Raw genomic sequence first — 19,695 nt, forward strand, 5'->3', positions numbered from 1 at the left:
CCCTTAAATGTTTAGTGGAATTCACTCGTGAACCCATCTGAACCTGGAGTTTTCTTTGTTGGGGGAAGTTTTCAAGTACAATTTCAACTTCAGTTCTTTTAAGAGATACAGGGCTATTTAGATTATCTTTCTTCTGGAGTGATCTTTGGTAGTTTGTATCTTTCAAAGAATTTATCTATTTTTCTATTTCATTTAAGTTGTCAAATTTGTTGGCACAAATTTAATAATATTCCCTTATTCTTTTATTATCTATAAAATCTGTAGTGATGCCACCTCTCTCATTCTTGATATTTGTAATTTGTGTTTTCCCTATTTCCTGTTTTCTATATTTGCTGTTACCCTACAGGTAACATTATAACCAATGGCTGGAAGTTTATCAATGTTGCTGAGCTTCTGAAATTAACAGCTTTTGGGTTCATTGATTTTTCTCTTTTTCTATTTTCTATTTCATTGATTTCCACTCTCAACTTTATCATTTTCTTCCTTCTCTTTACTTTGGGTTTTATTTACGCTTCTAATTTCTTAAGGTGGGAGCTGAAGTCATTGATATAAGACTTTACTTGTTTTCTCTTTTTCTTTTTTTTAATTATACTTTAAGTTCTGGGATACATGTGCAGAACATGCAGGTTTGTTACATAGGTATACACGTGCCATGATTGTTTGCCACACTCATCAACCCATCATCTACATTAGGTATTTCTCCTAATGCTATCCCTCCCCTAGTCCACTTCCTTTCTACTATAAGCATTTAGTGCTATAAATTTCTAAGTACCACTTTAGCAGTATCCTACAAATTTTAATATGTTATATTTTCATGTTCATTCAATGAAAAATAATTTCTAATTTCCATTTTGCTTTTTTCTTTCATTCATGGGTTATTTAAAAGTCTGTTTTGTTTCAGGTTTTTTTTGTTTTCAGGTATCTTTCTGTAATTGATTTCTAATTTAATGCCATCATGGTCAGCAGTTTGTACGACTTGAATCTGTTCAAACTTGTTGAGACTTGTTCTGTGGCCCAGAATATGTTCTATTTTGGTAAACATTCCATGTACACTGAAACAGCATGCATATTCTTTAAAGGTGACTTACATCAAGTGTCTTTCAAGCCCTCTACCTGCTTTGGTCTCCCCATAGCCTCAGCTCTGTCTTTCCTCAGCACGAGGAGATTTCTGGACTCCTTTTGTGTTTCTGCTCCATACACAGACCTGGATGCTCTCTCAAAGCAGTAAGCTGGGACAATAAGAAGGTTCATCTTGTTTGTTACCCATCTCTCAGGGGTTGCTGTACTTTCTTTCTTGCTGTCCAATGTCTTGAAAACCATTCTTTTTATACCGTGTCCCTGTTTTAGATTTTGAAAGCCAGAAGTTGTAACTTTTGAAAGTTGTAACTTTGTAGCATTGTAATATTTTAAAAATCTGCTCCTCACCACACTTTCCAGTCCTATAAACCATTATTTTATAGATTAAAAAAACCTCGAAAGTATTACATTTCTTTTTAAAATAAGTTTTTATAATGTTTCAAATGCTTCCACTCGATAAAATAAAGCAAATTGACATACTTGTACTATGGAATTACTTATTAAATTAGACATTGGTTAGAGCTCTGAGACAATTTTTTATTTGTCCATTTTTCAATAGTAACCTTGTGCTTTGACAAATAAAATTGCATGTGGAGAGTTAAATTATACTTTTCCTCCTTCTTGAATACTTTATATTTATACAACCCACCTAATTTAAAATTGGGAAACCTAATTGGGAAAATAATCTGCTGAAAATCGCATGTGGAAATGCCATTGGAAATTATTAATGCCACAAAACTGTGGCATTAATAGCTAAGCCCTAATTGGACTGCCACTCTCAGACAGACTGGCCCCACCATGTAGAGTGTGGAATTCATCTGGAGCCCAACATTGACTGTCCTGATCTTTAAAACATCCCAGATATAATGATAGTGACCTCCCAGCCAAGCCACTAATTCATTTATTTATTTTGTCTCTGTTGAAATGCATGTTATTTCCCTTGTGTTCTTCAGTCCTCAGAGCTCAATGTACTTTGCAATTGTAATTAATCAAACATTTATTGAGCTAAAATTATGGGGACTATCCAGAGGCTGATCCAAATTTCAGGGACCCCGAAGCTTACACAATTTGGAGAATCTTTAAGAAAAAGAATACAAAATTACAAACACAAAATTAAGTATGAAAGTGACTATTTATTTAGAATGCAAAAGACAGCATGACAAATTATAAAATTTTCAAAGCTGACAAATACTACAATTATCACGTCCAGAAAAATAACATTTTATTATTATTTATTGACTGCATAGTACATCTAGAATACTTTCTTTTACATACTCTTTGTTTGCTTCATTGTATGGCATTAATTTTAATGTTATTTTCTATTGAAAGGATAGAGGATGAAATATTGTTTTTTCCACTAACACAATTAATTGACATTTTTCTTTCTTATTATGGATCATTTAGAAAAGCTCCTCTCAGCTTCACTTCTTGCTAGTAATGGCATGTAGCAACTTCCTCAGCAGCCCTTCTTCCCAGGGTGAGCCCTCCAAGAACTCCAGCCCTTCGAGCCCATTAAGCTGGGTGCAAATGGCTGTGCTGCAGCCTCTGGTCCAGCTCTGCCCGCTGCAGCCCCTGGGCCAGCTTTGCCCAGCCTCTGCACCTCCCATTCCTACCCCCATCTCACCTCCAATTGTGGGCGGGTCCCAGTAAGAGCCTTAGTCACTGTGGGCGCTGAGCAGGGAACCAAGCAAGCCCCTTTTTATATCCTTCTCCTTGGGGGTCAAGGTCAGGGTCTGAAGCTCAATGCAGGCCCCCAGAAAAAAGCTGTAACTGGAGCCAGCTGATGCGGAGGTTGGAAATTGCCTCCTGACCATCCCCAGAGTCAAATCTGCCATGGCTCCCTCAAACCACTTTCCTGAGGCTGCAGCTGTTTTTATGTGGGGCAGGAAGGCAAAGAACAGGAGACTGGGCGGGCACATATCCATGCAAATAAAGTCCTGTGAGTAAAAGCAGACTAACAGCAATATTTTCCCACCTTCTTTCACAAGGCCTACAGTATAAAGGCTGAAGTTCTCAGCAGGCCTTTTGTGTACCCCACGCTCCCACCCAGTCTGCCTTTCCAGCAGATCTCCAGCATCCCCAACTGCACACACACACTGTCTACATTCCAGGCACACGGGATTGAGTGCTGCTTGAAACCCACCTGGCACTCTTCTGCCCTTTGCTTGGTTTTTATTCTGCCTTTGGGGCCACCTTCCCCCATGCCCACTCATGGAAATCTCCCTTCCCACTCAAGGCCTGGGCCAAGGGATGGAAGTTTTGCCACAAAACCTTCTGATCCACATAGCCAGTTGTGCTCTCACCCACCTCAAAGCCCTGGAGCATTTTTTTGCATCTTCGTTTAGTTTGACCTACCCTAAGATCTTCAATAACGTGAGGACAAGGACCTCATATTATTTACCTTTGTATCTCCTGCCTGGCAGCCTGTGCTCAATTAACATTTGTTAAACCAAATTAAACAACTCAAGAAGAAGAAAAACATTTCACGTGTTCCTAAGTTTCCTTTAAAAAAAAAAAAAAACTGAAAGTAATTTCTACCCTCAGATATGATGTGACAAGGAGAGAGTGGAGAAAGAGGGAGAGGAGGACTAGGGAGCAGGGAGAGTGGAGGGGAGGGTGGGGCAGGAGGTGGGGAAGCCTAGCAGATCAGGCACAAGAGATAGTGTATTAGTCCGTTTTCATGCTGCTGATAAAGACATACCCACCACTAGATAATTTATAAAGAAAAAGAAGTTTAATGGACTCACAGTTCCACGTGGCTGGCGGGTCCTCACAATCACGGCAGAAGGTGGAAGGCAAAAGGCACGTCTTACCTGGTGGCAGGCAAGAGAGAATGAGAGCCAAGCGAAAGGGGTTTTGCCTTATAAAACCATGAGATCTCATGAGGCTTACTCACTACCACGAGAACAGTATGGGGGAAACCTCCCCCGTGATTCAGTTACCTCCCACCAGGTCCCTCCCACAACATGTGGGAATTATGGGAGCTATAATTCCAGATGAGATTTGGGTGGGGACACAGCCAAGCAGTATCAGACAATGAGTCTGTGACAATGCCAGCGCCAGCCTTAGACCAAATTCATGATACTCTTTTTACTCCCCACAAAAACATTACAGATCTGTGTGCATTCTACTTTATTTTTTACTGTTACACCCTTCATTGGATGAAGTACAGACCACATATGAAGGTTAATCATTGTATCATTTCTCTGACCCAGTTGCTTGCTTTTGTCTTGAAATTATAATTCTTATCCCATTTCTAGGCTTCAGTTCCCAGGCTGTTTTTTTAATAATAAAGTAACTTCTGCAACACCTCAGTATGCAACTTAAAAAATATTTAGTGCAGTCACAGAGGATCATTCTTAACAACCTGTTAAGAGAATTGGAAAAGTAAAAGATGACTGATGATGTTTATTGCTTTAGAGATCCAGTCCATATAGTGAAAGCACATATATTATGTTTACAACATGTTAAAAGTTTTCTTTTAATTGTAAAAAACTGGCTTTACATGGATTTTTATTAAACATTTAATTTTTCAAACTGTTACCACATCCAGTATTTCAGTGAAACCTTTTTACTCACTAAGATAGTTTAAGAAAATGATATCACCATCATTTGACCATGGAGAAAAGTGGTACAAAGGTTAGATTTGCTGAAGGTCACACACTTTGTTTCTAAGACTGTGAAGACTAAGCCCAGGTGGCTGACTTCCAGCTCTGGCCTGCACAGCGAGAAAATAACCACATTCAGAGCCATACAATGTCTTAAATTATTTAAAATGTAATGTCCTTAGGGAATTCTTGATTGTTTCCTTTTCCTTTGTTTTCATTTTTCTAAAAAGTGCTTAAGGCAGCTAAAAAAGATAGACTTCTAAAAAAAAAAAAGACTTCTTGAAATTTGCTTAATTGGCCAAGAACATTTGTTTAATTGGCCAAGAACATTTAAGTGTCTCCCATAGGGAGGGAAAATGGTTCATTGGAAAGGAAAACAGTAATTTAAGATGGGCCTTGGATAGGAAGTTTGGTTTCTAAATGAGATAATTCATGGGAATGGCCTAGTAAGGTGCCCTGTACTACTTAAGGAACCCTTATTTGCACATGATGTTGGCCATTTCTCCACAAGAGAGTTGCTCATAGTCATACTTTGTTTCCCTTTTTTTTTTTTTTTTTTTTTTTTGAGATGGGCTCTTGCCATGTTGCCCAGGCTGGAGTGCAGTGGCCATTCACAGATGCAATCATAGCTCACTGCAGCCTTGAACTCCTGGGCTCAGGTGATCCTCCCACCTCAGCCTCCCCAGTAGCTGAAACTACAGGTCCCTTTCCCACCTCCCAGCCTCCCCCACCAGTGCTTTGTTTCCTTTTTTATTTTGATGTAATGCTGTGAATTTTCACTTCTACAGAACTGTAATTTACATTTCATAAAGTAGTTGAGATTATGATCTACCTAACTGTCACAAATCCCCTCCCGCAAATGAACTCTTCCATTTGTCTCCCTGAACTGGCCAGAGAAATCTGTGGATGAGAGGAAAGTTTATCTGGGTTTTCCTACATTCACTCAACTAAGTATTAGTGACTATTATCAACACCTGGCTTCTTTACAAAGAGAAGAAATTACTGGAGGTGCAGAAGCAAAAGATGCACATCCTCATTTGACCTCCCTTCTCAGTTTCAAGGCTGAGCATGCTTCCTGAGCAGACGCCTTCCTCGGGATGCCTGGAGCCCATGAGGAATGCAGTGACCTAACGCTCCCAGAACACAATAATGAGACCCCAACTTAAGTTTCTTGCCCAAAGAAGGAGCCCATAAATTGAGTCAGGTCTCAAGAGAATCATACAACAAAGCAGATTGTGCACAACAATGCCGCTGCCTATCACTCAGCCTCAGTCTTCTAAAAAAGAAAAAAAGTGAGTGCTCTCTCTCTCTCACTGGTTTACCTGTCCCTAAAACCCATTCATAGAAAGAGTGCCTCATTTTCTTTTTACATTAACTTTATTGAGGTATAAATTACATACAGTAAAATGCACAAATTTTAATTGTACAGTTTGATGGGTTTTGACAAATTTTAACACCAGCGTAACCCCTACCACAACCAACATATAGAGCATGACCATCGCTCCAAAAACTTCCCTTGGCTTCCTTCCCCTCACTCTCCCACCTACCTGTACCACAGCCTCAGGCAACCACACATCTGCTTTCTGTCACTATAGATTAATTTTTTTACAATACCATATTAATGGAATCATAGAATGTTAACTGTTTTAAGTCTGTCTCCATTTGCTGAACATTTTTGAGATTCATCTATGATATTGTATATATCAATAGTTCATTCCATTTTGTTGCTCAGTAGTATTGCATAGCTTGAATATGCCATAATGTAATTATAAATTCACCTGTTTGGGGTTGTTTACAGTTTGACATTATTATGAATAAAGCTGAAATAAACATTCACTTACAGGCTGGGCACAGTGGCTCATGCCTGTAATCCCAGCAGTTTGGGAGGCCGAGGCAGGCGGATCACCTGACATCAGGAGTTCAAGACCAGCCTGGCCAACATGGGGAAACCCCGTTTCTACAAAAATACAAAAATTAGCCAGGCATGATGGCGGGTTCCTGTAATCCCAGCTACTCAGGAGGCTGAGGCAGGAGAATCGCTTGAACCTGGGAGGTGGAGGTTGCAGTGAGCCAAGATCGCACCACTGCATTCCAGCTTGGGCAACAGAGCGAGAGTCCGTCACAAAAAATGTAAAAAAAAAAATCACATATAATTATTTCAGCAGACATGTTTTTATTTTGGGTTGGGGGCAGGGGAGGGGAGACATAAAAACCCCAAAGTGGCATTGTTGTGTCACACAGTAAGTATACATTAGCTTTATAATAAACTGCCAAACTGCTGTACCATTTTACATTCCCATTGAAAATACATGAGAATTTCAGTTGCTCCATGTTCTCGTTAACACTTGCTATGGCCAGTCTTAATCTTTAATTTTAGCCATTCTAACAGACATGTAGTAGTATCTCACTGTGGTTTATTCATAGTTCTCTGACCAGTGACGTCAAGCATCCTTTCATGTGCTCATTTGGCTTCAGTGACACCAAATTTGAAAATTCTATAGCCAAAAGCACCTTTGTTAGTTACTAGTAGATTTTTACTTTCTCTTTCTTGCCTTAACACTGGCAGTACACAAACTAGCTAAAAGTAGCTGTCCTTTCCTTCCCATCCCATGGTGAGATCATCAAAACCTTCAGAAACCCACTCTATAGAAAGTCAAGCAGACTTGACTAGATTAAGCCTATGGTCTCAGAACATTGTTGTTGGAAGGGGGATGAAAGTCATGTGTCCTTCTACCTCTCTTGCTCTGCTATACTTAAAGAAACTCCTAGTGATACAATCCCAACAATCAGTCATGAGTTCTCTGACCTTTCACAACACCATCTATGTTTCTTACATTGTTATCCAATTCTATATTTTTTGAATTGTTATCTACTCCATGTGGACACACATTCATTCTCCGCATAGATTAAAAGACTACATCTGATCTTGCTTCTGTGTTTTCATAGGGCTCAATAAATACTTTTAAAGTTGAATTGAATTTGCAATATTCACTATATAATTAAGAGAGAAAATTTGAGATCAAATTTACTCTAGATTTCAGATCAGTCATTTCATGGGAATCCAAACTTTCCATGTCCAGGAATTCATGAGATTCCTCCCCCAACCTCCTGCTCTTGTTGACAATGTAAAACAAACCACAGTTAGCCTGGGAATTATCTTTACGGAATATATCAGCATATTGTTTTGAGTTTTTGCACTGCATGTATTAATCAACCAAGAACACATGTCTTGGTTCAGTAAAAATTTGCAGAAAGCTAGGCATCCTATTAAAAGAATCTGTTGACGTTTATCCCCCCAGCTAGCTTTTCCTATTTTGTAACTACAAAGAATATTAGTGTTTCTTTACTTTTCAGAATCATCTACTCAGAAAGACTTCTAGCAGTGTCCTCGACAGGAAGTCACCACTGTGCTGAGGCAAGGCAGTGGGTCTTTAGGAGGTCAGGTTTCTTCCCACCCTTTGACTGCTCTGCCTGTAGATGTGTCAGCTCTTATCCCACTTCTGCTGAGAAGAGCATCCTTCAGCCGTGACACTAAACTTGTGTGAGGATGATGCAGAGAGGCTGGGCACAGGCCACATAGGCTCACCCTCTACCACTATCTTGGACATATTAGGTTCCTACATGATGGGGAGATCAGGAGGGCTAGGGGAGCCTAGTTATAGTTGCTTTATTGGAACTGTCTGGCATAGAAGAAGACATTCAGAGGGCAATAAAGATCAGACTTTTTCAGAGGCAAACAGGTGAACTTCCAGTGATTTATTCTTAGTTAACCAACCTTCAACCAACTGATAAGATAAACAGTATCCCTAATGCTGATCCTAAAGCATTCGAGATCCTGAAGTATCTTCAGCATTATCAAAAAGGATTAAATTGTATTGTGGTAAACAATGATATTTTAATTTTAAAAATTTATTATAATCCTCTAAACCCATGCTCTCCAAACTTTCTTATTTTATGCTTGAATCGGTTGTAAAAATTGTCATCCCCTAATATATTTATATTTATTTATTTATAAATTATACGTATTAATACCCTACTAAAATTTTCATGATAAAACATATACAAATATAAAATATTTTAAAGGGCAAGAATGTTTTCTTGATTTTAAAATTTAATAAGTAGAAATAAAGGAATACTGTTTTAATATTTAAAAAAAAGCTTTTTATCTGAGCTCATCATGCCTACTAACAAAGTATTTAGAAGCATTTATGCTGAAGTAAGGACAGGAAAAATGACACTGTCACTACTATTATTGAATATTGTTCTAGAGATACTAGCTCTAATTAGGAAAGACAAACAAATTAGAATATTTGAAAGTAATACATTAACAGAATATGGTAAGTATCATTTATGTTGGCAAATAAATTCACGTGTGAAAAACCTGAAAGAACGAACTACAAAACATTCTTCAACAATAAAAGAATAAATATATAGAAATCAGTAGCCATGACAAATACAGATGGCAGCCAGTTAGAAGGTGTACTGGAAGGTAATGCCTCATTTACCCTGAGTAAAACAAGATCAAATATCTAGGAATAAATATAAGAATCATGTCTGATAGGCAAGCAGAAATTGAAGGAACCCCAAAAGTTTGAACAAATAAAAAGACACACTATATTTTGATTAGGAAGACAGCATCCTAAAATTATCCAATATCCTTCAATTAATCTACAAATTTGATAAAATTCCAATACAAATACCAACAAGATTCTTTTTATGTTCTGAGGTTCAAATGGAAAATCAAACAAGTAAGAGTAGTTGTGAAAATACTGAAGAAGTCAAGCAATGAGGGGCAACAATACCTACCAGATAAGAAAAAATGCATAAAGCTATCATACTCAAAGAAATATGAATGAATAGACAAATCAGTGAAATAGAATATAAAGTCCATAAATACATCCTAATACACATAAAAATGTATATGATAAAAGAGGCATGTAAAATGAGTTATTCAATAAATGAGTCCCTGGAAGATAAGGAGGGTGGGAAACAGATAGGATAGGCTATGAATTATTAAGCAACTGGTTTATATCTAGTTTAACCAGCAAGATGCAGGAGCATCTTCAACTTAGTTTTCTCATAGCACCATGATGTCCACAAATCCACTTACAAGCAATAGTTCTGTCTTTCCCAATGTTACATTCCAAGCATTCACAACCGTATCTGGACACAGAAACTCTACCATGGTACCAAACAGTAATTACTCTGCAGAGGTAATAGGTGCACACACTATTTAGGTCTGAATACCACAGCAGGGAAAGGTATGCCAGCTAGGAAGGAAATAAAATCTCAGGAAAAACGAGGGCAAGTAGAAAAAAAAAAAGATAAGAGGAACTAAATAGCCTCGCTGGGCACATACTCATGGGAACCCTGCTGATGTTGCCCAACTTGAAGATAAAGAGATGCCTATGATATAGAATCATGAAGATCTCACCTCAGAGAGATCCGTGATATGTCACCCAGGAGCATCCGTCACCTGCCGGAGCACTGTACCAGGAAACCAGAGGCATGGTTCTGTGTAATCTCGAGCAAGCTAAGTGGCCATGATGAGAATGCTTCTTCCTACTGTGCCCAGCTACAGGATTTATGTAAGAATGACACGAAATGACAGATGTGAGTACACTTTGCAGCTCTGATCAGTGGTATCCTAATAAAGAAGAATTGTTAGCTTTGAGTTGAGCCTTGTTTGTAACAGGCACTCACTTCACTGTTGTTGCCTTTTATGTTCCGGAGTCCTGCATGATATGGACTCCAGGATAGCAAGAGTCCACATACCCCTCCCCAAGAGAAATTAAGCTGGGAGCCATGGAATTATCATCATCTCCTTGCCACCCTGTCCAACTGCAGGTCGTGGGAAGCTGAATTTACCCTGTGAGACTTCTGCTTCATTTACATTCATCTTGGCAGGCAGTGGTGGGTCGTGGGGAACCTGTTGAAAGCATGACAGCAATGAAGGCTTTCTTACATGCTGAACTCACATCAAAGCTCTTTTCTTCTGTGCTGACACATGTAACTCTTTACCAGTCTGATGATAACACATACAGAGACAGACCCTCGGATTCCTGCTGGGGAGAAAACAGAGCCAGAGATATGCTGTACTGAGCTGGCAAATACAGTGTTCTTTCTGTTAAAATCTGATGGGAAAGTAACTAGGCAAAAATCCATGGTGCTGGCTACGGTACAAAGATGACCAAGGCTGTCTCAGGTATCCTGGTGGCTTTATTGTCTATTTCCGGGAAAAGAGTAGGTAGGGATCAAGAGCAAAGAACATGGGAAAATGTGCTGCTTTGTCATTGCAGTTCATTTATTTCCTAGAAATTTTGGCTTCTAGGGAAAGGCAGCGTGATATAAAAAAGAAAAAGGTACTGGACTCAACCTGATTTAAATCCAGACCTGACACTTTGCTACCTGGATGAACTTGGGTAAGTGACCTAAGCTCTCTAAGCTTCAGTTTCCTCATCTGTAAAATGAGGATGAAATTTTCTATGCAAGATTTTGTAAGGAAGATCAAATAAATGGACATAAAGCAATTGACACATAAATATGGAAACGATTTCTCAGCTTTCCTCCCTGAGGGACAGAGACTCTTCAGGCTACTTAAATTCTCCCCAGACTTTTCCAAGTTGCTCTTTATCCTCATACCCTGGCCACACCACAAAAGCTGCCCACATAGAAGAACTTGGTGAAGACTTGCTGACTATTCCCCTAAATTCTGCTTGTTTAATAAACATCTGCAGAGACAGGCTCAGCAATGGGCTCATTGTGGAGAATCCCAGAAGTGTGTGGCAACACCAAAGGAATTTTATGAAAGTCCCAGGAGAGAGAAACTGTCGTTCAAGTCATCACATAGCAAACTGCCCCTAACACGTGCTGCACACACATTAGGTGGTGACTCAGTTTTGGTGTTTGACTTGAGTCTTAAAACATAGTTCAGAACCTGATGATACTTCCCTGAATTCCCATTTTTAGTGTGAAAGTGTGTTCGGCTTCCCGTTGGCTATTGGGAGCTTGAAAGAAATTCAAGGAAGGAGACCTACAAACTGCTTATAAAGGATACTGCGTGAGCTTTATGCACTTTGGCTCTTTTAATCCATTCCACAAGGCCGTGATGCCCATTTTACAGATGATGAAACTCTTTCTGAGGTTAAGTAGCTCACACGGTGCCACAGCTAGCGACTGCGTGAGCTGAGTCACATCCAGATCGTTCAGTATGAGAATTTTAAGAGAAGATAAACATGTGATTCTCTCGAAACTCGGTGTTCTGTAGCCTGCAAACCCCTCTGGAGCCTGGTGTTTGCTTTGCTTGCAAGCCTGACCTCCGAGGCTCCTGCCATCTTCCTTCCCTCTTCTCCCCTCCATTCTCCCCTTTCCCGAACCGTTTCTTTCCCCCATTCCTTCCCCATCTAAACCACAGAAAAGCACTTCCAGGCTCCATTTCAGCCAGCAAAAATCTCAAGCCCAGGGGAGGGCTTCCGGGACTTTCCACTGGAGGCTCTTAGACTTAGACGCAGCGTCCTCTCCTGGAGGGAGCGCAGCGCCCCCCGGGCGCAAGGGGGACGCGTTCAAGCGAGGGCGGACGCCGACTGCGAGTCTCTTTGTGCAGCACTTTGTCTTTCTCTCCCTTGGGGTGTTTTTGGGATTCCCCAACAATAGAATGAGCTGAGTTCTGCGTTACTGATTCAGTTATCTCGGTACAAGGCGGAAAGTGCCGGGAGGAAAACTGATACCCCGTATTGAGCAAGCTGTTTTCTGGGAAACTCCGAACTGTCTCCTGCACGGTTCAGGCCCGGTTACCGCTGCCTGCAACCCCCGCCTCGGAGCCAGCTGCGCCTGGAGCTAAAGCCTCAGCTTTTTAAGGCATGGTTTGCACTCTTTTATAGTTGCTGAGCTACGCTAGGGCCAAACCAACCACTCATCATCAACCTCTATTCACAGCATCTAGAATAAAACCTGCCACATGGCAGGCACCCAGTAAAAGCCTTTTGGAATCGGAATAGAAGGTGGGTTGATTACACTGGGTGCTTCTCACAGCCCACAGGGTTGGGACTGACAAGTATTCCGGCATTAGTAAGGGCAGAGACACTTTGGGCTGGCCAGACCTGATCCTGGGGAGGATCACTGGGTCATTTCTTGGCATCTCCCATCCCATCCCTGCCCTGATAGGTTTCGCCCCTTTCAGCACTCGGAGGGCCAGGCTGGTGGTTCCCATAGAGGTGTACCGCCTGGCAGCCAAACAGGGAAGGGTGTTCCCTTCTGCTCAGTTTTGATTTGAGCTTTGCAAGTGACAATGAAAATAATATTTTTGAGCAACAGTTTAAAAGCCAGATGCTATACACACACACACACACACACACACACACACACACACACACACACACAGAGAGAGAGATAAAATGTTCATGGATTAAGATTATATATTCATATAATTTTAACTATATTCATATGGATTAAAACTAATCCATATGATTATGGTAAAATAATTTAGTCACTTGGGATTGTCCTTATTTTACAAATGAGAAAACTATGGCTCAGAGAGGATAAGGAACTTGCCTAATTTCACTCAACCGGTGAGTCACAGAAATGGGATTCTAACTCACACTTGTCTGGTCCCGAAGCCCATAGATCAGCCTCGGATGGAAGCCAACATACAGTCTTTTCAGTTCTTCCTGGGCACCCCCAGGCACTCCATTTTCCCATTTCTCAGAAGTCGCTGACCCTTCTTTTATTTAAGGAGCACAGTCGCTGCTATCTACAGCCCCCGCTTCTCTGGGAAAATACAAAAGGTTTACATCATTTCTGCTTTGATGGGAACATTCACCCTCGCCCTGATTTTGTCATTTTTTCTGCCTTTTCACTCCTATCATTAAGTAGAAAGCCCTGACTCCACCTGGAGATAAATTAGGTTTGAAACAGAAGAAGGAAGTTGTCTCTCACTCCCTTGCCAGAAAATCACCCAGTGTCTGAGGCTGCAGAATGGGTTCCCTGAAGGTGCACATGGGGTCAGAAGGGACAGCTGGGAAGGGTGCCAGGCTGGCCCTGCCCTCCCATGAACCTAACTTTTCCAGTGTCGCCATCTGACCCAGGATGTCAAGAATCGGACCATGCCATAAGGATTAAATGAAACAATAAGCACAAAGGTACCCAGGACAGTGTCTGACAAATGCACACTGTGTGCCCTACCTGCCCCTTCCTACTACTTTTTAGCATCTCCTCCTCTTTGGTTTTCTCCTGTTTTCTTCTAGAAGTTGTATAGTTTTGAATTTTACATTTAGGTCCATGATGCATTTTGAGTCAATGTTTTTGAACAGTATAAGGCCTGTGTCTAGATTCATTATTATTATTATTATTATTATTATTATTATTATTATTTTGCATATGGACATCCAATTTTTCCAGTACTACTTGTTAAAAGACTAGTCTTTATTGAATTGCCTTTTACTATTTGTCAAAGATCAGTTGACTATATTTGTGTGTCTATTTCTAAACTTTCTTACCTCTTCCATTGATTTCTGTGTCTATTCTTTTATCAATACCACGCTGTCTTTATAACTTTATAGCTGTATAGTTAGTTTTTGCTATGGTCTGCATGTTGGCATCCTCCTAAAATTCACATGCTGGAACTTAATGCCCGATATGATGGTATTAAGAAGTGGGGCCTTTGGAGAGTGATTAAGTCATGAGGGTTCTACTGTCATGAATAGGATTAGTGCCCTTATAAAAGCAAGCTCCCTTGTCCCTTCCATCATGTAAGGACACAGCAAGAAGGTGCCATTTATGAAGCAGAGCAAGTCCTCACCAGACACCACATCTGCTGGTACATTGATCTTGGACTTCCCAGCCTCCAGAACTGTAAACATAAATTTATGTTGTTTATAAATTACGAGTCTAAGGTATTTTGTTGTAATAGCCAAACACACTAAGACAGTCCTGAAGTCAGGTAATTTTAGTTCTTAACATCATTCTTCAGTATTGTATTGTCTGTTCTGGGTATTTTGCCTTTCCATATAAAATTTAGAATCAGAGGGGCACTATCTAAAAATAGTTTACCTAGATTTGGAGTGGAATTTCATTAAATCTACAGATCAGGTTAGGAAAAATTAATATCTTAAACACTATTGAGTCTTTTAATCCATGAACATGGGATAGCTCTTCATTTATTTAGATTTTTTATTTCTTTCATCAGAGTTTTGTACTTTTGCACATATAGATTGTGTACATATTTTGTTAGATTTTTACCTAGGTATTTCATTTTTGTGCTATTGGAAATGCTATTGTGTTTTTAATTTCAAATTCCAATTGTTTATTACAAGTATATAGGAAAGCAATTGACTTTTGTATATTAACCTTGTATCCTGCTATAATTGTTTATTAGTTGAAGGAGGTTTGGGTTCATTTTGGGGGGTTTTCTACATAGCCTAACTTCTCCAGTTTCACCATCTGACTCGGGATGTCAAGGATCAGGCCTTGCTATAAGAATTAAATGAGACAATCAACACTAAGGCACCCAGCAGTGTCTGACAAATGCACACTGTATCTACTACCTGCCCTCCTCTCCTACTACTTCTTAGCATGTGTTCCTCCTTGATTTTTTCCTGTTTTCTTTTAGAGGTTTTATAGTTTCAAATTTTATATTTATAACCATGATGCATTTGAGTCAGACATGTCATCTACAAAGACAGTTTTATTTCTTCTTTCCTCATTTTTTTTATTGGTTTTTTTTTTTTTTTTGGACGTTTTGTACTAAGCAGGACTTCCAATATGATGTTGAATAAGACTGGTGAGAGGAGACATATATACTTTGTTCCCAATCTTGAGGAGAAAGTACCCAGTTTCTTACCATTAACTATGATGTTAACTGTCGGCCTTTTGTAGATCTTCTTTATCAAGATGAGAAAATTCCTCCTTTTTACTGAGAGTTTTTGCTGAGAGTTTTTATCATGAATGGGTGTTGGATTTTGTCAGATGGTTTTTCTGCATTGATTGATATGATTATATGAATCTTCCTTTTTAGTGTATTAATGTGATAGATCATATTAATTAATTTTCAAATGTAGATTAAGCCTTGCAAATCTTGAATAAACCCCACTTGGGCACAGAGTATGGTTGTAGTTTTTTTTATACAGTGTTAGATTCAGTTTGCTTATATCTTCTTAAGGATTATTTTATCATTTTCATAAAAGATATTGGTTTGTTGTTTTTCTTTCTTGTGCTCTCTTTGTCTGATTTTGGTACTTGAAAATGCTGGCCTCACAGAATGAGTTAGGAAGCGTTCCTTCTGTATTCTACAAGAGATTGCAGAAAATTGGTATAATTTTTTCTTTGACTGTCTGGTACAATAACCAGAGAAACCATCTGAGTCTGTTGCTATCTGCTTTGGAAGGTTATTTATTATTTATTGCATTTCTCTAGTAAATATAGGCCTACTTTAAATTATTTATTTCTCTTTGTGTGTGTTTTGATAGTTTGTGTTTTTCAAAGAATTAGTCCAGTTCATCTAAGTTATCAAATGTGTAGGCAGAAAGCTATTTATACTCTTTCTTTATTGTCCTTTAAATGCCTTGCGATCAGTACTGATAAACCCTCCCCAATCTCTGATATTAGTCATTTGTATCTTCCTTGTTTTTTCTCTTGGTGAACCTGGCCAGAGATTTATCAATCTTATTGATCTTTTCCAAAACCTCCCCCCGCCACACACACACACACACACACCACACACACACACACACACCACACACACACACACACATCAGGTTTTGGTTTAATTCATTTTCTCTATTTTTCTAACAGCAGTTTTGGTTTCTACTCTAATTTTTTTTTTCTGCTTTCTTCCGGCTTATATTGTTTTTCTTTCTCTAGTGTCATAAGGTGGAAGCTTAGATTGCTGATTTTAGATCTTTATTCTTTTGCAATATATGCATTCAGTGCTATAAATTTCCCTCTAAGCACAGCTTTCACTGCATCCCACAAGTTTTGATTAGTTTTCTTTTCATTTTCATTTAATCCAAAATATTTTAAAATTTCTCTTGAGATGTCTTCTTCAATTACTTTGTTATTTATACATTTTTAATTTATTCCTAAATATTTGGGATTTTCCAATTATCTTTCTGTTATTCATTTTTAGCTTTATTCCATTATGGTCTGTGAATATGTTTGTATGATTTTTAATTTCTTAATTTGTCAAGGTATATTTTATGGCCTAGAGTGTGGTCTCTCTCAGTGAATGTTCCATGTGACCTAGAGAATAATGTGTATTCTGCTCTATTGGATGGAGAATTCTATATCATTTATATCAAGATGATTGCCAGTGCTGTTTAAAGTTAGCTATATCCTCACTGATTTTCTGATTGTTTTATCAGTCTGTTGTTGAAAAGATGTTGAACTATCCAGCTATAAGAGTGGATTTGTCTATTTCTCCCTGCAATCTTAACTGTTTTCGCCTCACATATTTTGACAGTCTGTTGTTATGTGTGTACACATTGAGGATTGTTATGTCTTCTTGGAGAATTGTCCCCTTTAAAATTATGTAGTGACCATCTCTGTGTCTCTGACAATTTTTCTTAGTCTCAAATCTGCTTTGTCTGAAATTAATATAGCTACTGCAGCTTTTTTAAATTAGTGTTAGCATGATACAGCTTTCTCCATCCCTTTACTTTTAATCTGTGTCTTTATATTTAGTGTAGGTTTCTTATAGGCCACATATAGTCAGATCCAATCCATTCTGACAGTCTCTGTTTTTTAATTGGTATGTCTACTACGTCATTCACATTTGAAGTGATTGTTGATATTATTGGATAAATATCCACCTTGTTTGTAACTTATATATTCATTGCACTTGTTCTTTGTTTCCTTTTTTCATCTTCCCCTCTTCTTCTGCCTTCTCTGGCTTTGAGTATTTTATATGATTCCATTTTCTCTCGTCCTTTACTATATTATAATTCTTTCAAGAAACATTTTTGTGGTTGTCCTATGGTTTGCAAAATACATTTGCAAGTAGTCTAAGTTAACTTTCAAGTAACACTGTATCATTTCATGGGTAGCACAGACATCTTTTAGTAATATATTCCAGATTCCTCCTTCTTATCCTTTTTAACATTGCTGTCATTCATTTTCCTTATCCATATGCCATAATCGCCCAATACATTGATGCTATTATTACTTTGAATAGTTATCTATTAGATAATTAAGAATAAGAAGAATAAAATGCCTTATTTTACCTTCACTTATTCCTTATCTGATGTTCTCCTTTCTTTATCCAAGTGTCTGATCTATATCATTTTCCTTCTCTTTTAGAAATTTCTTTTAATATTTCTTGCAAAGGAGGTCTACTGACTTTGCAATAGATGTTAAAATATTTTACTGACCTGCCTTGCAAGAAAATTATCCCAGTTTTTGTTTGTCTAAGAAAGTCTTATTTTTTCCTTCATTTTGAGGGATAATTTCACTGGATACAGAATTCTAAATTTGTAGTTTTTCTTTTTTTCTTTCAACACTAAATATTTTACACTCTTCTTCCTTGATAAGAAATCTGATGTAATTCTTATTGTTGTCTCTCTACAGGTAAAGTATTTAGTTCCTCTGAATTCTTTCAAAGTTTTCTGTTTGTCTTTGGTTTTCTCCAGTTTGAATATGATATGCAGATTTTGTTTTCGGTATTTATCCCTCCTGGTTTTCTCTGGGCTTCCTAGATCTGTGATTCAGTATCTGTCATTATTTTGAAAACAGTTCAGTCATTAGTACTTCAAATATATCTTCTGCCCTTTTGTTTCTTTTCCTTTTGTTATTCCCATTTCCCATTATGCATATGTTACACCTTCTATAATTGCCTCACAGTTGTTATATGTTCTGTTTGGGTTTTCTTTTTTTTTTTCCATTCTTTTTTCTGTTTGCATTTCAATTTGGTGAAGTTTCTGTTGACATGTCTTCAAGGTCAGTGATTCTTTACTTGGTTGTGTTCACTCTGCTGATGAACTATCAAAGAATTCTATATTTTTGTTACAGCATTTTTGATTTCTGGCACTTCCTTTTGATTCTTTTTAGGGTTTCCAGCTCTCTGATTATATTACCCACCTATTCTTGCATGTTGTCTACTTTTTCCATATAAAGTGCTTTATATAAATATTATGAAATTCCTTGGTAATGCTAGTATAATGTAGGAGTAATGCCCAAGTAAAACCCTAATCCTAGTATAATAGGTTTGATTACTTGATTTGGCAAGTGACACATCCAAATTTGTGTAGTAAGAGCTGTGGTGTAATATAGCCCCATGCATTCAAGCTCTTATTCTAGATATTTTTTTTTTCTGTTTTATGGTATCAAATAGTAATAACATGATTATTTTTGTCCTTTTTGTCAAGAGTAGGTTTATATAACTCTGTATGTTAATTTATTAAAAGAGAAAGATCCCAATGTGTATCTAAATTTCATTTGAAAGTGCAATAGAAAATACGTAATTTAAATAGTATTTTGGCTTTAGAATGCAGGCTTCTGATGAAAAGTTCTGGTTTTCTTCTCTGTATATGCTTTTCTTTTTATTTATTTCCCTATAGAAGAAAATTAGTAAGGGCTTTTCAACAGTCGAACCAGTTTTGCATTTCTATGACTATCAGAGGAGACAATGCCTGTAACACTCTTACACTCTTAGCACAGGCTTAACAGAAGAAACTGCTGCACAAATGTAGGCTCCTGTTATACATATTAGATTTATAAATTCTATGCATATGTTTTTAATCTTGATGTTTGCATCTCATCTCACCTAATCTTTAAAAAGGAGCAGGCAACTTCTTCCTCACCTTTTAGAATGGTGGAACAAGGAGCTTTAGAAATCCTCTTCCCAACCACCCTCCACCAAAATAATGATAAAGCTAGATAAAATTGTAAAAAAGCCATTTCAGAGTAAAATGATCAAGGAAATTGATCAAATACATAAAAAAATTAAGAAGCATTAGTTAGAGTAAAATCACTAAAGCTTAGCTAAGAATAGTGAGCATCTGAAGCATTTTTGCCTGGAGCT

General features: G+C 38.1%; 1 protein-coding gene and 1 long non-coding RNA gene across 8 annotated transcripts in view, besides 1 other annotated feature; one reads left to right on the top strand and one right to left on the bottom strand.

Annotated features, from left to right (window-relative positions):
* RMDN2-AS1 (RMDN2 antisense RNA 1) overlaps positions 1 to 10,311 on the bottom strand; it is an 86,008-nt gene extending 75,697 nt beyond the window's left edge. Inside the window, exons 1-2 of the long non-coding RNA NR_102712.1 lie at positions 10,120 to 10,311; positions 3,825 to 3,890 (exon numbers count right to left, since the gene is read on the bottom strand). This is a non-coding gene — a long non-coding RNA (RMDN2 antisense RNA 1). The remainder of the gene's footprint in view (positions 1 to 3,824; positions 3,891 to 10,119) is intronic.
* Positions 1 to 19,695, top strand: part of RMDN2 (regulator of microtubule dynamics 2) — a 146,238-nt gene that overhangs the window by 105,130 nt on the left and 21,413 nt on the right. The gene's annotated exons all lie outside the window — the stretch shown is intronic.
* Positions 12,567 to 12,636: a silencer, noted in NCBI's record as "silent region_11367". NCBI's record gives its function as "represses an Ori minimal core promoter by ATAC-STARR-seq in GM12878 lymphoblastoid cells {active_cell/tissue: GM12878}" and the evidence as "EXISTENCE:reporter gene assay evidence [ECO:0000049][PMID:35858748]".

The sequence above is a fragment of the Homo sapiens genome, chromosome 2 (genome assembly GCF_000001405.40).
Source record: "Homo sapiens chromosome 2, GRCh38.p14 Primary Assembly".
Taxonomy (NCBI): Eukaryota; Metazoa; Chordata; class Mammalia; order Primates; family Hominidae; genus Homo; species Homo sapiens.